Source organism: Homo sapiens, chromosome 1 (genome assembly GCF_000001405.40).
Source record: "Homo sapiens chromosome 1, GRCh38.p14 Primary Assembly".
NCBI classification, from domain to species: Eukaryota; Metazoa; Chordata; class Mammalia; order Primates; family Hominidae; genus Homo; species Homo sapiens.
This window is the reverse complement of record NC_000001.11, coordinates 216,287,548-216,301,305: the sequence shown is the minus strand read 5'-3', so window position 1 is coordinate 216,301,305 and position 13,758 is coordinate 216,287,548. Positions and strand designations below refer to the sequence as shown.

The 13,758-nt window shown below is 33.6% G+C and overlaps 1 protein-coding gene across 2 annotated transcripts in view; it reads left to right on the top strand.

Annotated features, from left to right (window-relative positions):
* Positions 1–13,758, top strand: part of USH2A (usherin) — an 800,558-nt gene that overhangs the window by 122,143 nt on the left and 664,657 nt on the right. For both annotated transcript variants that reach the window (NM_206933.4, NM_007123.6), the window contains exons 10-11: positions 8,936–9,131; positions 11,896–12,026. In NM_206933.4, the coding sequence (NP_996816.3) occupies positions 8,936–9,131; positions 11,896–12,026 (327 nt within the window). The remainder of the gene's footprint in view (positions 1–8,935; positions 9,132–11,895; positions 12,027–13,758) is intronic.

Sequence of the window (13,758 nt, the reverse complement as noted above, 5' to 3'; positions counted from 1 at the left end):
GAGCTCTCAGGACCTTGAAGGGAAATTTTCTCCCTAGCCCCCAGCCTTTTGCAAGGACTTCATATATCTTTGTCTAAGAGGATATTTTTCTTCCTTCTTTTTTCAAAGATACATAGTAGGCATTTAAGATTGTTGTATAAGTGACTGAATAAATAAATTGCTCTTGCAGTTAAATTACTTAAACTTGTATTTTACACAAGTTTCTACTTTCTCTGTAAATTTGAAGGTGTTAAGAAATAAGTAAAATTGAGTGTGTGGCTTGTCATGGTGGCTCCCGCCTGTAATCCCAGAACTTTGGTAGGCCGAGGTGGGCGGATCACTTGAAGTCAGGAGTTTGAGACGAGCCTGGGCAACAAGGTGAAACCCTGTCTCTACCAAAAAATACAAAAATTAGCTGGGCATGGTGATGTGTGCCTGTAGTACCAGATACTCGGGAGGCTGAGGCATGAGAATCTCTTGAACGTGGGTGGTGGAGGTTTCAGTGAGCCCAGATAGTGCCTGGGCTCCAACCTGGGCAACAGAGCAAGACTCTGTCCTTTATCTCCAAAAAAAAAAAAAAAAAAACATTGAGTCTATCAGGAGTGGAGTTGATAAAAATGCTTTGGAGACTATGGGTTATCTTTGAAAGATTGTCTTTGCTGCTCTGTAATGGTAACGAAGAAACACTATACTTCAGTTTAATGATCCATAAGAAATAACTGTCATTGTGTATTATTAGAATATAATGTAATAAAATAAATTTCATCAGTGTCTTCTAGATTCAATGACTATTCAATGATTTTCATACCTGAACATGTCAAAGTATTTGGCTGCAACTTAGCGGAGTTGATTAGTAGCCTTTAAGAAGCTATCAAAATGAAAGCAGTTAAATGAATCAGTGGTAAAGGTCCTTGACCCTGATATAGCCATTGTCTAATCTCATAATTTGGGCATTCAGGGACATATCGGGGGAATCCAGTTGTTACAGAAGAAACCGAAACATAATTGAAAGTGACAAATGATCAACTGGAGATTGGGAAAACATGAAATAGAAAACCATTTGCTTCAGGAGCTGCCTAAAATATAAGATACACACAGAGTTCTTGATTTTAAATCAAACTTTAAAATCACTGGTAGAAAAGGCAGTTGAAAATTATGAGAATTCAAAAATTTACTTATAATGCACTTACCAATTATTATTTCTTCCATTTTGTCATGGTTATCCTTGTATTATCTGAAACGAGTTGTTAAGAACCAATTATGGGACCAAGAATTTAATACTTCATGAAACTTTATAATCAAAGAATAGACTACAAAGTATTCCTTCTGTCTTTGCAAACCATACAAAATGATAATAGAACAGTATCATCTTTAGGATCAAAGACCCAAATAGGCATTGGTGTGTCATTTAGTTGCATATGTCTTAAATCAAATTTTAAAACAAATTTAGGCATCATCTCTCAAAATCTTTGCTTCTGTATATTAATCCCATTGTTTTGGAAAAAATGTATATTTTTTACAAATCATACTCTGTTTACTGGTGGCTCAAAAACTTTTTAGCTTACATAGTAGTTGAAAAGAGAATCATTTTTTCTGCAGATTTTTGCTCATCTGTGTGTAATTTAAAACTGAAACATATTAATTTTCTTAGGTTTTCTTAGTGAAATGTTACATGCAAATGATGTATAATTATCTTGTAACTATCCATGCAGTTACATTTTATTTGCTCTCAATTTTTAATACATTAGTAATAAATGTACACTGTGGAAAAAATAAAGTTATAAACTTTATCTGTAAACCTACCACCCACCGGTAACCCCAGCCAATAATCTTAGTTTATATACTTTCAGGCATTATATTATTGTTATTATTAGTAAACCTGTCTCATCTGTCTCTATCTTCTTAAAATTGCATATTTATATCTATAGATAAGTCCACCTTTATCTAGAATAGAGGATTATACTCTGTATATTATTTTTAACTTGATTTTCAATTCAAGCTGTATTATGAATATATTTCTCTATTTATATTTATAAATGTTAGCCTTTTTTTTTTTAGGAATTGGAACATCTTAAACCACTCTCTTGCTTTTGGGCATTTAATTTGTTTCCTTCTCTTCAGTATTATCAACACCCCATTATTAAAACAGAAAATCTTTATCAAGCAGCTTTAAAAACATATTCTCGGACAGGCACGGTGGCTCACGCCTGTAAACCTAGCACTTTGGGAGGCCGAGGCGGGTGGATCACGAGGTCAGGAGATGGAGACCATCCTGGCTAACATGGTGAAACCCCGTCTCTACTAAAAATACAAAACAAATTAGCCGGGCGTGGTGGCAGGTGCCTGTAGTTCCAGCTACTCGGGAGGTTGAGGCAGGAGAATGGTGTGAACCTGGGAGGTGGAGCTTGCAGTGAGCCAAGATTGCGCCACTGCACTCCAGCCTGGGCGACAGAGTGAGACTCCGTCTCAAAAAAAAAAAAAAAGTATTCTCCTAAATTCTCAGTGGAATTTCTGGGTCCTGTGGAATGTATACATATGTTGCTCCTCCTAAAAGGAGTGGATAAACTCCTCTCCTACAAGCAGTGTTCTGCACTGGCCCTTTCTACAAATTCCTTTCACCCTGGTATTATCATAATCTAAAAAATAATAATTTGAGAATCAAAAAATAACAGCTATGCTTGTTTTCTTCAGGAAAACAGAACAGGTTATCCATATATCTGCAGGGTTTTTTTCTCCACAAAAGAAAGGCCAGCCATTTTCAATAACAAGTAGTTTGGCAGGACCAGAACCATTCCATTGGGTCACTGGTAAAATTTGTCTTTGGCTTTAAACATTAAGGCAGCCAGGACTGTGTCTTTGGACATTGATACAGCATTTAGTCCAGTCTTATTTACAATTAGGCTTTTTGATAATGGCTTTTGGGCTGACGTTAAGTATAAAATCTGAAATTAGATTTTTTAAAGATTATAATCAAAAAGCAAAAATGTCTTCCTAGAAATAGCAAAGGAATGCTTTTGCTGGATTTGCTCCACTAACTCATGTAGGCAATATACCAAACTCAAACAGCCAGCAGTTGTTTTGTAAAAGACAAACTGCATCTGAAATCAGTATGACAGGACCACAGTTTCCATCTCATCACTTCCACCAACTTACATTTAAGAAAGCACAACTTGAATAATAAAAACCACCATAGAGTAAACAAATTCTTCAATGAGAATGCTTTGAAGTCAAGAGAAAAATAGGCTCAGGGCATTGTGTTACAGCAAAATTTTGCCTTTGGCAAAAGTTTTACGATGGAATAGGGTTTTTAAAATATTGGGAATCAGGTAAATTGCATGGCTAATTGAACTGGGGAAGACAGCTTAATGAGCTCATTTCTCTCCTTCAAATCCAAGAAGTCAGAAGGCAAGTTTTCATCTATTCTTTCATTTATCCAATTAGAACATATCGTCCCCACACATAGGGCTACTAGAAGAAGTAATAGTTATGTCTGATGGCTCTTAGGAAGTATTGTCAATAGATAGGACCTCCTCTGTAGTTATAACTACAGATGATCAAATTAACCAGAAATAAATTTTGGTCATAAATTTCTTCTTGCTCCACTCTGTAGGCTACCTCCTCCAAAGCAGATCGTAGACCAGTGCATTTATAAATCACAGAATCACCTTTTAATGGTTATAGACTATATATAGCATAGTGACAGTCATATACTGCTGGTGCTGGTCAAACTTGAGATCAACAATTCTGTTGGATTTTTACCCCTCTCTTCCTTCTTTTTCCTCCTCTTCCATATTCTGACTTTCAGGTTTGAGCATGTAATAACTTCCAGGATTTGTTTTGGGCATTATTTATATATTACCACTTATCCTAAGATTATTTTGAGTCAGATAAAAGTAAGACATTCTATTAAGTTATCTTCATTTTGAAGATGAAGAAACTAAGATTCATAGAAGTAAAGAGGACTCTAGGAGTAACTAACTGTCCATTGTCATTGTTAATGTTACTTAACCTCTTTAATCCTCTGTCGTGAATCCAATAACGATCAAAGTAGTAGGCAAGTTTGCTGAGGGCCAACTGTGTGACAAGCACTTTGATAACTGATTGGTCTTTACAGCAACCTTATGAGAGAAGTATTATTACTCTCATATTATGAGTGAGAAAAATAAGGATTAAAGAGGTACAGGCAATTACTCAAGAACACAGGGCTAGCAAATCAAGAAACAGAAGTTAGATGTGAGATATTGTATCACCCAGGCCTAAAAGATGCAATGAAACAACCCATTTTAAATGTTTAATATAGTAACCAGAGTATACTCTCATTTGATGAGAGTATACTCATCAAATGAGAGTATGCATTTGATGTTACTTTTCACAGTGGCCTTTTTGCAGTTAGGAAACAGCAGCACCAATAATAGAACTAAGCTGTCTGACTCCCAGCCTGTACCTAAATCTCTAACTTTTGATTTTATGAAATAAATTTGATTTGCAGATGGGCATTGCTGGTGAGGGAAATGTAAAGAGGTCAATTTCCCCACTTTAAATTTTTTTGGCTAAAGACCCATAGCTGACAATATTTTAATGGTTGCCACATATTCTTCTTTTATGAAGTGAGTTTCATTTTATATTTGTAAGTGGTTTTTATTGCAAATCATCACCTAACAGTCAATTCTGAAGACTTTCCATAAATGTCACCTTGTTTGTGAATTGTTCTCATTCTGTCTCCTCTCTAAATTCCCTCAAGAACAACTTTCTTTGGACATTAATATCATTATTAATTGTGAATTGTCAGCTAACAGCTTAGCAATTGTCTATCATGCTCCTAATGCATGGATGATACAGAGAATATAAAGTCAATAACTTGTATTTCCTGAAAGATACATATACAGAAGCCAATCATTTCAGTAGAGTGACAGGAGCAAGATTGAGGTATTAATAGAGTACTCTGAGAGATGAGAAGCGGGACAACTACCTTAGCCTAAAGGTTTGCAAATGATTGTGGGGAAAAATAATCTTTATCACTCCAAAAAGAATATTACAGTGATATTTTAATTGACCATAGAGTTTAACTTGACCATTGTAAAATGACCAAAAGGGTGAATTATTTTTTACCAATTATTAAAAAGTAGCACTACCTGATATAAACAGTGTGACCTAATGTTTACATTCTTATTATTTTTTCTCCTTTTTGTCTTTTTCTCTCTCCCCAGCTAAGTAGAAAAAACTCACTTTGTTTTCATGCTAAAATTTTGGAATACCATTAAACAGCAACACACTGGACAACTACATTCTTATGTTTTATCTTCTCCCTTTAAGATTGTTAAAGGAAGAAATTGAACTAGTGGGGAAAAGTAAATACTGGCCAAAAAAAAATGCTTTTGACTAGTGTATGTTCCAATGATGATTATGAAATATGTCAAACTGTTCTAAAATACTAAATATGTGTTACTATTTATTCTGTATTAAAATAGAACAATAGAATAACCTTTGTTGTCCCAATATGAAAATAGTTTTTAACAATGTTAATATAAAACAAAGAGCAAAGGACCATTATCTTGGATAAACAGAGAGACATTACTTTACATGGTTTGACTCCCCTGATTCATAATTTAACATGTAACTCTGGCATATGCTGGGCACTTAGGGAAGTCACATTAAGTATTTCACAGCAAATGGAGAGTGAGAAAAATGATTTTCAGAAATCCTGGTATTTACTTATTATAAATCTTGTCTTGAATTTATTGTACTTTACATGAAATATAATTTGATAAAATGTAATTGGTTTCAGTGTGTATGCAAAATGAGAATTTTCTGATCATTCAGATATCAAAATTAACTTTATAAATACAAATACATATAATTACCTATTAAAATTCTAAGGTGTATTTATTTTAATAAAAGTCTTTATCAAACCTAGATAAATCTCATTTATGATTATAAATGTAAAACTCCTAAATTTTTTTTTACTTGGCTTTATTTACTATTAATGATGTTGGGTTTATTAAAAAATGCAAGCACAGACTCCAATTAGCCTACTAACCTATTGTATAATTTATCAATTCAATAGGTCAAACAATTAAATCAGAACATTTAATAAAATTGACAATATTTTTTTATTTTTTTACAAAAATCCATATTGGTTGTTTTGAAGTAGCAATTTCTTCTTCAAAATGATAAAAATTGTCTATGTAAAATCAATAGTCAATACTATAAAAGCTGCAACATTATAGACATTTTCATTAAAATGAGTAAAAAGATAATTATGCCTATCACACTACTATACCATATAAATTAACTATTATGCTGAAAATTCTGGCCAATAAAGTAGGGGAAGGAAATAAATATAACTGTATATTTAAAATTATGAACTAAATCTTCACTGTTTTACAGGCAAAGGAAAATTCTAATATCTGATAAAATCTTTAAAGTCAATTAAAAAAGAGTATACTAAAGAAAAATGAATAATTTTCTCAAAAAGGACTATATCTAACCAAGAACTAGGTGAAGATTGGCATTACTAGTATCCAAAGACATAAATACTAAAACAGTAATTGACATATTATCTAAAATCAAAATAGTGAAGATATAACAATTATGGGCAGAACACAAGAAAATGGACATTCTCAGATATTGCTGGTGTGAGTATGAGTTTAATTTTTCTAGAAGGAATTTGACCATATTTAACAAAATCTTTAAAATGTTTATACTCTTTGATAATGTAATTTCATCTCATAATTTTCTTAAGGTAATACTTAGATATATATCCACTCCCGATCCCCAAAATAAAATGGAAAAAAAAAAACTAAATGTGTAATGATTGCAGAAGGGTTGAATGTTATTTTATGAGAAATATAAGAAATAATGCAGCAAAATACATGATGTTTAATTATACAAAACTATGTAGTAATACAAAATATATGATTTTTAATAACACAATACCCATGTATATTCATAATTTTGAAAAGAAGAAATATATGCATATACAAATTTGAAAGAAATTATCTCATGTTGACATTTTGACTTATCATTTGCTAGTCAAATTACCAGTGCTTTTAATTTTCTACCTCCTGCCTTTGTTTTATAAAGAATATTTTTATTATGTCTATAGTTATACTAAACTCAGTTCAGTTGAATTGTTATTTAAATCTATGGAAAAAATTTTGCTTTGTCCATAAATTGTATTTATATTAGAAAGTTAAAATAATTAATTATAAAACATATATCCAGGTTTTTTTATTTGTTCCAGTACATAACAGACCTATTACATAATTTGAGTAAATTTTGTCTTACAGTTATACAGGCAGTTCTCTCCTTACACAATTCTGATATGCATGAATATCAGTTATCATAGTTTAGTTAAATGCTAACAGTCCTCCAACAACGTAACTCAAGTGTTGGGTAACATTGAATATTACTGTGAGTAATTACATAAACAAACATTGCTGCTGGCTCTGCAGTCCACAAATTACCACATAAAATAACAGATGCACATTGTGATCAGTGACCGATCACGTTTATTTTTTTCAGTATCTGTTGGTGATTGCGCACTACACATTTATCATTCAGTTTATTTATAGAAGAGAAGCGTGTGGTTGTGTTGCCTCCTTGTGAGTGATAAACCCGAGTGACACTTTACAAACACAGATATTCAAAAAAGAAGAGGAATTGGACAGCAAAGAGGAAAGCACTGCAAAGAAAGAAAATACTTGAAGTAAAATTCAGATTGAACCTAAGTGGAGTCATAGAAGAAATAGTCACTACTGAGGTTTGAGAGATTCTGAATACGTAGCCAGAGCTACTTAGTGAAGGTGAACTTAACATAAGTGAGGGAAGTGCTTGCCACAAATAGGGTGAAGATGTCCTGGAGGAAGTGACACCCAAACACTTCACATTAGAGGAATTCTCACAGGTACTTCACAACACTAAAAGCATAAAAGTTAAAATGTTGGAAGCTGATTCAAACTTAGAAAGGAGCGTGACAATTCACCAAGGCATAGAAAAGAAGTGGCCGGGTGCGGTGGCTCACGCCTGTAATCCCAGCACTTTGGGCGGCCGAGGTGGGCAGAACACGAGGTCAGGAGATCGAGACCATGCTGGCTAACAGGGTGAAACCCCGTCTCTACTAAAAATACAAAAAATTAGCCAAGCGTGGTGGCGGGCGCCTGTAGTCTCAGCTACTTGGGAGGCTGAGGCGGGAGAATCGCTTGAACCCGTGAGGCGGAGCTTGCAGTGGGCAGAGATCATGCCACTGCACTCCAGCCTGGGGAACAGAGTGAGACTCCATCTCAAAAAAAAAAAAAAAAAAAAAGATGCTTGTGTTCAGTGTGATAAGTTATAGGTGAGATGAAGGCAAGCACTGTTCAAAGTACTTTTAGTGAGTATTTTACAAAGGACTAAAACAACTTCTCCAAGTTTTTAATGTTTTAAATTACAGAGTACTAAATAAATGGTCATTTTTACTGGTTTATTTCTTTACATTTATAACCAGCATTGGAGAGTTGTTAACATGTTGAAGTTTTACAAAGTCTTAGAGCTATCATAACCTTTCCTGTTGATTATTAAGATCACTTTGCATGTTTGTAACACAAAGGTTAAACACTTGAGGGGATAGATGTCGCATTTTCCAAGATGTGATGATTACACGTTGTATCTCTTTTTCAAAACATCCCATGTAGCCTATAAATACATACACCTACTACGTACCCACAAAAATTAAAAATTAAGAAAAAAAAAGATCATTTTCCATGGTTCAAGTTTGCATGGTCACTTTTACAATTCCACCCTACCATGCCCGTAAATATGCTATTTCTGACTTACGAAATATTTTTCAAATAAAATCATTGCTGACTTTTAACTCACTGATATGTGCTTTACTTCTGGTGAAAGGCCTAACATATCAATAAAATGAAAGAAAATCACAGCTTTATTTTCTTTACTGTTCTGATATTTTTTGTTCTAGTGTGATCGCTGCTTGCCTCTTTATAATGACAAGCCTTTCCGCCAAGGTGATCAAGTTTACGCTTTCAATTGTAAACCTTGTCAATGCAACAGCCATTCCAAAAGCTGCCATTACAACATCTCTGTAGACCCATTTCCTTTTGAGCACTTCAGAGGGGGAGGAGGAGTTTGTGATGATTGTGAGCATAACACTACAGGTAAGTAGCAAATAAATTCCTGAGTTGGTTTGGAGGCCTGTGTGCTTCTATCTACAATGCATATTATTTTAAATTATGTTATTGCTATCTTATTTAAGGATGTACTTTCATACCTTTAAGTTTGAAAATCAAAGCTAGTTCACCAAATCTTCCTATTTCCAAATCACTAGGTAGTTTTCAGAAATAGCACTCTAGTCTTAAACTATATCTTTTCAGGAAAAGGATTTTGTTGTTGTTGTTTTGTTTTGTTTTGTTTTTTAAAGAGTTCACACCATTTGACTAAACCACAACCATATTTAGAATAACTCGGGAATGCTTACTTTGAACACATATCCTTAAAGTAAGTTTCCTTTTGTCCCCTTTATTGTCCTTTATGTCTGGATTCTCATGTGGAGATGGCATTCATTCAGATTTGGCATGGACACTGGTAGTCTGAGAATACTCTTTTTGAAAATACTAATTAAATGGAGACGATGATAATCAAAGTCCTGTTCTAAAACTACAAAGCCTTTGACTAGTCATTGAAAAATACCATCCTTATTTTGAAAGGCAAGAAATGGCCAACATCTGAATTTGTGAAATATAATAGCATATATCTGATGGGTTTCAAAGTGGTACTCTTAAGCATGAATCCATTTATCGGCTGATTATTGATAACTTAAATATCACAAGATCTTGGGTAGGTGCTGGGGACATGAAGATGAATAAGACAATGAATTTTCTGTCTTTGGGTTATTGTACAGTGGGAAAGACAGACTATTGAAAGGAATGATTACAAAGTTGTCTGATGATTGCTAAGATAGGGCAAGGACAGTAGGAGTTAACCAGTTGAAAGATTAGGATGGTGAACTAAGGCTTACAATTAGGGAAACATTTTGTGCAGTGGCCTAGAGGAGGGAGAAAAATGACACGTTTGAAAAACCATAAGATGGGCAAATGGCTGGTGGTAAGAGATATTAGGAAGGAAGGCAGGACAATATCATAGAGGACTCTGGAGCCATGATAAAGCCTTTGGCTTTTATCTAAGGTCAAGGAGATGACACTTAAGGGTTTTATATGGGAAAGGGGCATAATGAGTTACTTGTTATTAAAAGATACACCTGGTTATAAAGTAAAAAATGGATTGGAGAAGGTTAGAGTGGTTGGGGAAAACTAGTTAGTGAGGTGCTGCAATAGTCCAGGTGAGAAATAATGTCAGAATACATTTCAGATGGTACGGATAGAGAGAAATGGATCCAAGAGATATTTAGGATAAAAAAGTGAGTGTTTTGTGAGCAGAGTGTAGGCAAGGGAAGGAAGGAGAGCCAAGACTGATACCTAACATTACATTCTAGCTTGAGCAGTAGGCTCAACATTGGTGCCAGCCATTGAGATAGAAAATACAGGAGGATTGAGATGAGGGAGGAGATGGCAAGTTCTGTTGTGGATATGTTCACTCGGTTTCTAAGAGACATAGGAGAAACTCCTGGGGGCAGTTGGAAACACAGTTCTGAAGCTCTTTCCTTCAAGGAAATCCTCTCATGATGCTTTAGAGAAGATCAGAATCACTTACACATGTTAGTGACAACTATGCTTATCATGGTTTATAAATGTGTATTACTCCTGGTATTATTTAGTTCAGATTCCTCTTACCTCCTAGACTGTAAGAGAGCTTTGTGAAAGAGATGCAATGGGTATTGTGTATTTAGTTTACTACTGTATTACACAGCACTTAGCACAGTATTTGGTACATAGTAATCACGCGATAAATATTCATTAATTCATAAATAAAAGAGAGATTTCTGGATTGGAGATATGGATTTGGGAGTCAACAGCATATGTAAATGGAAATAGTCTAGAAATATTATAAATCAATTTAATTTTTAACTAGCTCAATAGCCAATATCTATCAGAATATGAGTTTTCATATTATTGATTATTGATTATTTCTGTAGTCTTCAAATATTGGAGAAATTTCAATATTTTTTGAGCAAAGTACATCATGTTTAAAGGGGGAATTGATAGTCTTGAGTTCTACTTCAGCTTATTTCAATTATCTTATACACTAGTCACGTTCACTTTAAAAATTCCTTGTAGTTTAGGTTTTTTATTACATAATATAGCAAAGGAAATTTGTAATTATAAATTATAAACTATGGGAATTACCTGATATATCTAATATGTCAGGCTATTCTAGTATTTAGTATGAAAAGTACTTGGTATCTCTAAATATAATGAATTTCTATTTCAATCTTTGAAATGAAAAATAATGGCCACTAACATAATCATTTGTTTTTAATTGTGTTAACTACAGAATAATAAATTATATTAAGAGAAGTCTCCCATTTTACATGATTGAGTTCTAGAAAAATATTTCCAATACTACATACCTGCTTGCTTCTTACTGTATAAGTATCATCTACCACATATGTAGAAATTTCTCCTGCTGTATTGAGTTTAGATAAAGTGCCTGGCCCCAGATATAAAGTTTTAAGTTTAGGAGCAAACTCTTTCCAAATGTATGGGCCCCTATAAAGCACAGCTTTTTAGAAGTGTGGTATTATATAACAGATGGGAGTTTAATGAAGTAAAGCACAGTTTGTAACAGGTTCATTGTTTCATATGCTCTGGATCACTAAATTGGCAGGTAGAGATGAAAGGTGCATTAAAACGGACGTTCCGAAAATTATAGAATTCCCTCAAAGGAATACAGTCTTTAATTTTGAATTATGCAGCTGATTTTAATGAATTAGAAGTCATAATGCATAACCTTTCCCTGATGCAGGAAGGAACTGTGAGCTGTGCAAGGATTACTTTTTCCGACAAGTTGGTGCAGATCCTTCGGCCATAGATGTTTGCAAACCCTGTGACTGTGATACAGTTGGCACTAGAAATGGTAGCATTCTTTGTGATCAGGTGAGTTTTTCTGAGTATTTAAGGTAAAGGATTACTCTGTCTGCCAGAAACTTATTTGGATGTTATTCCACTAGTAGAATTGAAGACTGCATTTGCCAGGAAATCCTCTATGTGCATTTGCATTTCAAAGAGATGGTTGTTCGTGTGCAACTTTGAGTATGGACATGAAATATAGCACTAGTTCGGTGGTCCTTTGCATATAAAAAGGCTTATTTTAGTTTTAATTTTACAAATGTCAAAAAATCGAAGGGTAGGGGTTCTAAGTAAATTGGGGTATATGTCTTGGAATTATTGGTGAATTAATATTAATACATGATATAAATAAACAAGAATAGTTTCTCCAAAAATTCCATAGAAGATCATATAGCAAAAGTCACTTACACTTAGGGCCAAATGGAAATTATGATAGCCTCGCTTCTCAATTTCTTAGTCTAACTTTCCCTCTTAAAAGTACAATGGATTTTTTATAATTTTAAAACTTTCTGTTTACTTACATCACAAATATCGATGTCTAGCCTACATGCACACAGATTCTAACTAACCTCAGTTCATGTATCCTACCTCAAGCAGGAAAACAGGCTTCTTATTGAAGCTGAAGTTTTTCCTGTTCTGATAATACTAATAAGTGAAAATTGTGAAAATCGGTAAAGGAGAAATTTACTTTGAAGAATCAATTCAATGATTGTATTAATTTTAAACAGTTATATACTCTGTTATGAATAAATAAGGCTAGGAGCATAAACCACAATCCAGTTATAGAATATTTGTTAAAAAGTTATATTGTGAACATAATACACACAAGACAAAATATCTTTCTCCTATAATTTTGAGAATTCATTAAAAATTGCTTTCCCAAATAAAAGACAAATATAAACCAAGACAAAATATGGATTCAAAGACCTTCAGAGTAACCATCATGTGTCAATAAGGGGGCATTACATGCTTCATTAGAAAGCTGAAGAGTAGAAAAATTATTAATAAAGACAATTTCTACTATTTTTATTTTATAATATTGAGGGACTATTTTCTCAGAAAGTCATACTACAGTTTTCCATATATTAATTAGTAAACTCTGACTGTATCTTTAGATTATATTTCATTTTTACACATCCACCCTGAGTTTTCAGCATGGCTATCTTTTGCTTATCATTCAAATATTGATATATCATATTTTGAGATATCTTTGCTGACCACCCAATTACAAAACATTCTCAAGTCTTTCATATCACCATGTTACTCTCATTACAGGCTCTGTAAAATTAATTTATTTGTTTACTTTTCTTCTTCTCTCTTTCCAACATAAACAGAACAGTTTCGATCATATAAAAAGCCCCCAATAAGTATTTGTCACATAAATGTTGAATGAATAAAGAGAGATTATCTGAGCACTGATCTTATAGTTAGATTGTTATTTTAAACGGTCATTACAATAATCTGAGCATTATGTAAATTTTCACTTGCAGAACAGTTTTTCTCCCTGAAAATCTAAGGTCAAGAGCTTTGTTATATAGTATAGGAAGACTGTAAACTATAGTTTTACCTCCCAGAATCTCAGTTACGTGTCTAACCTACACGAGTTACAGTGCATCAGATTTGTCTCTCCATTTCACCATTCAGATCTACAAGAAATTGAAACCTGATTTTTCTGAACTCAAACTTCTATTTCAAGTCCGTTTTATAGGGATGCTAGACAACCTTGGGTGGTTCTGTGCTTGTAAATAATTAACAACTG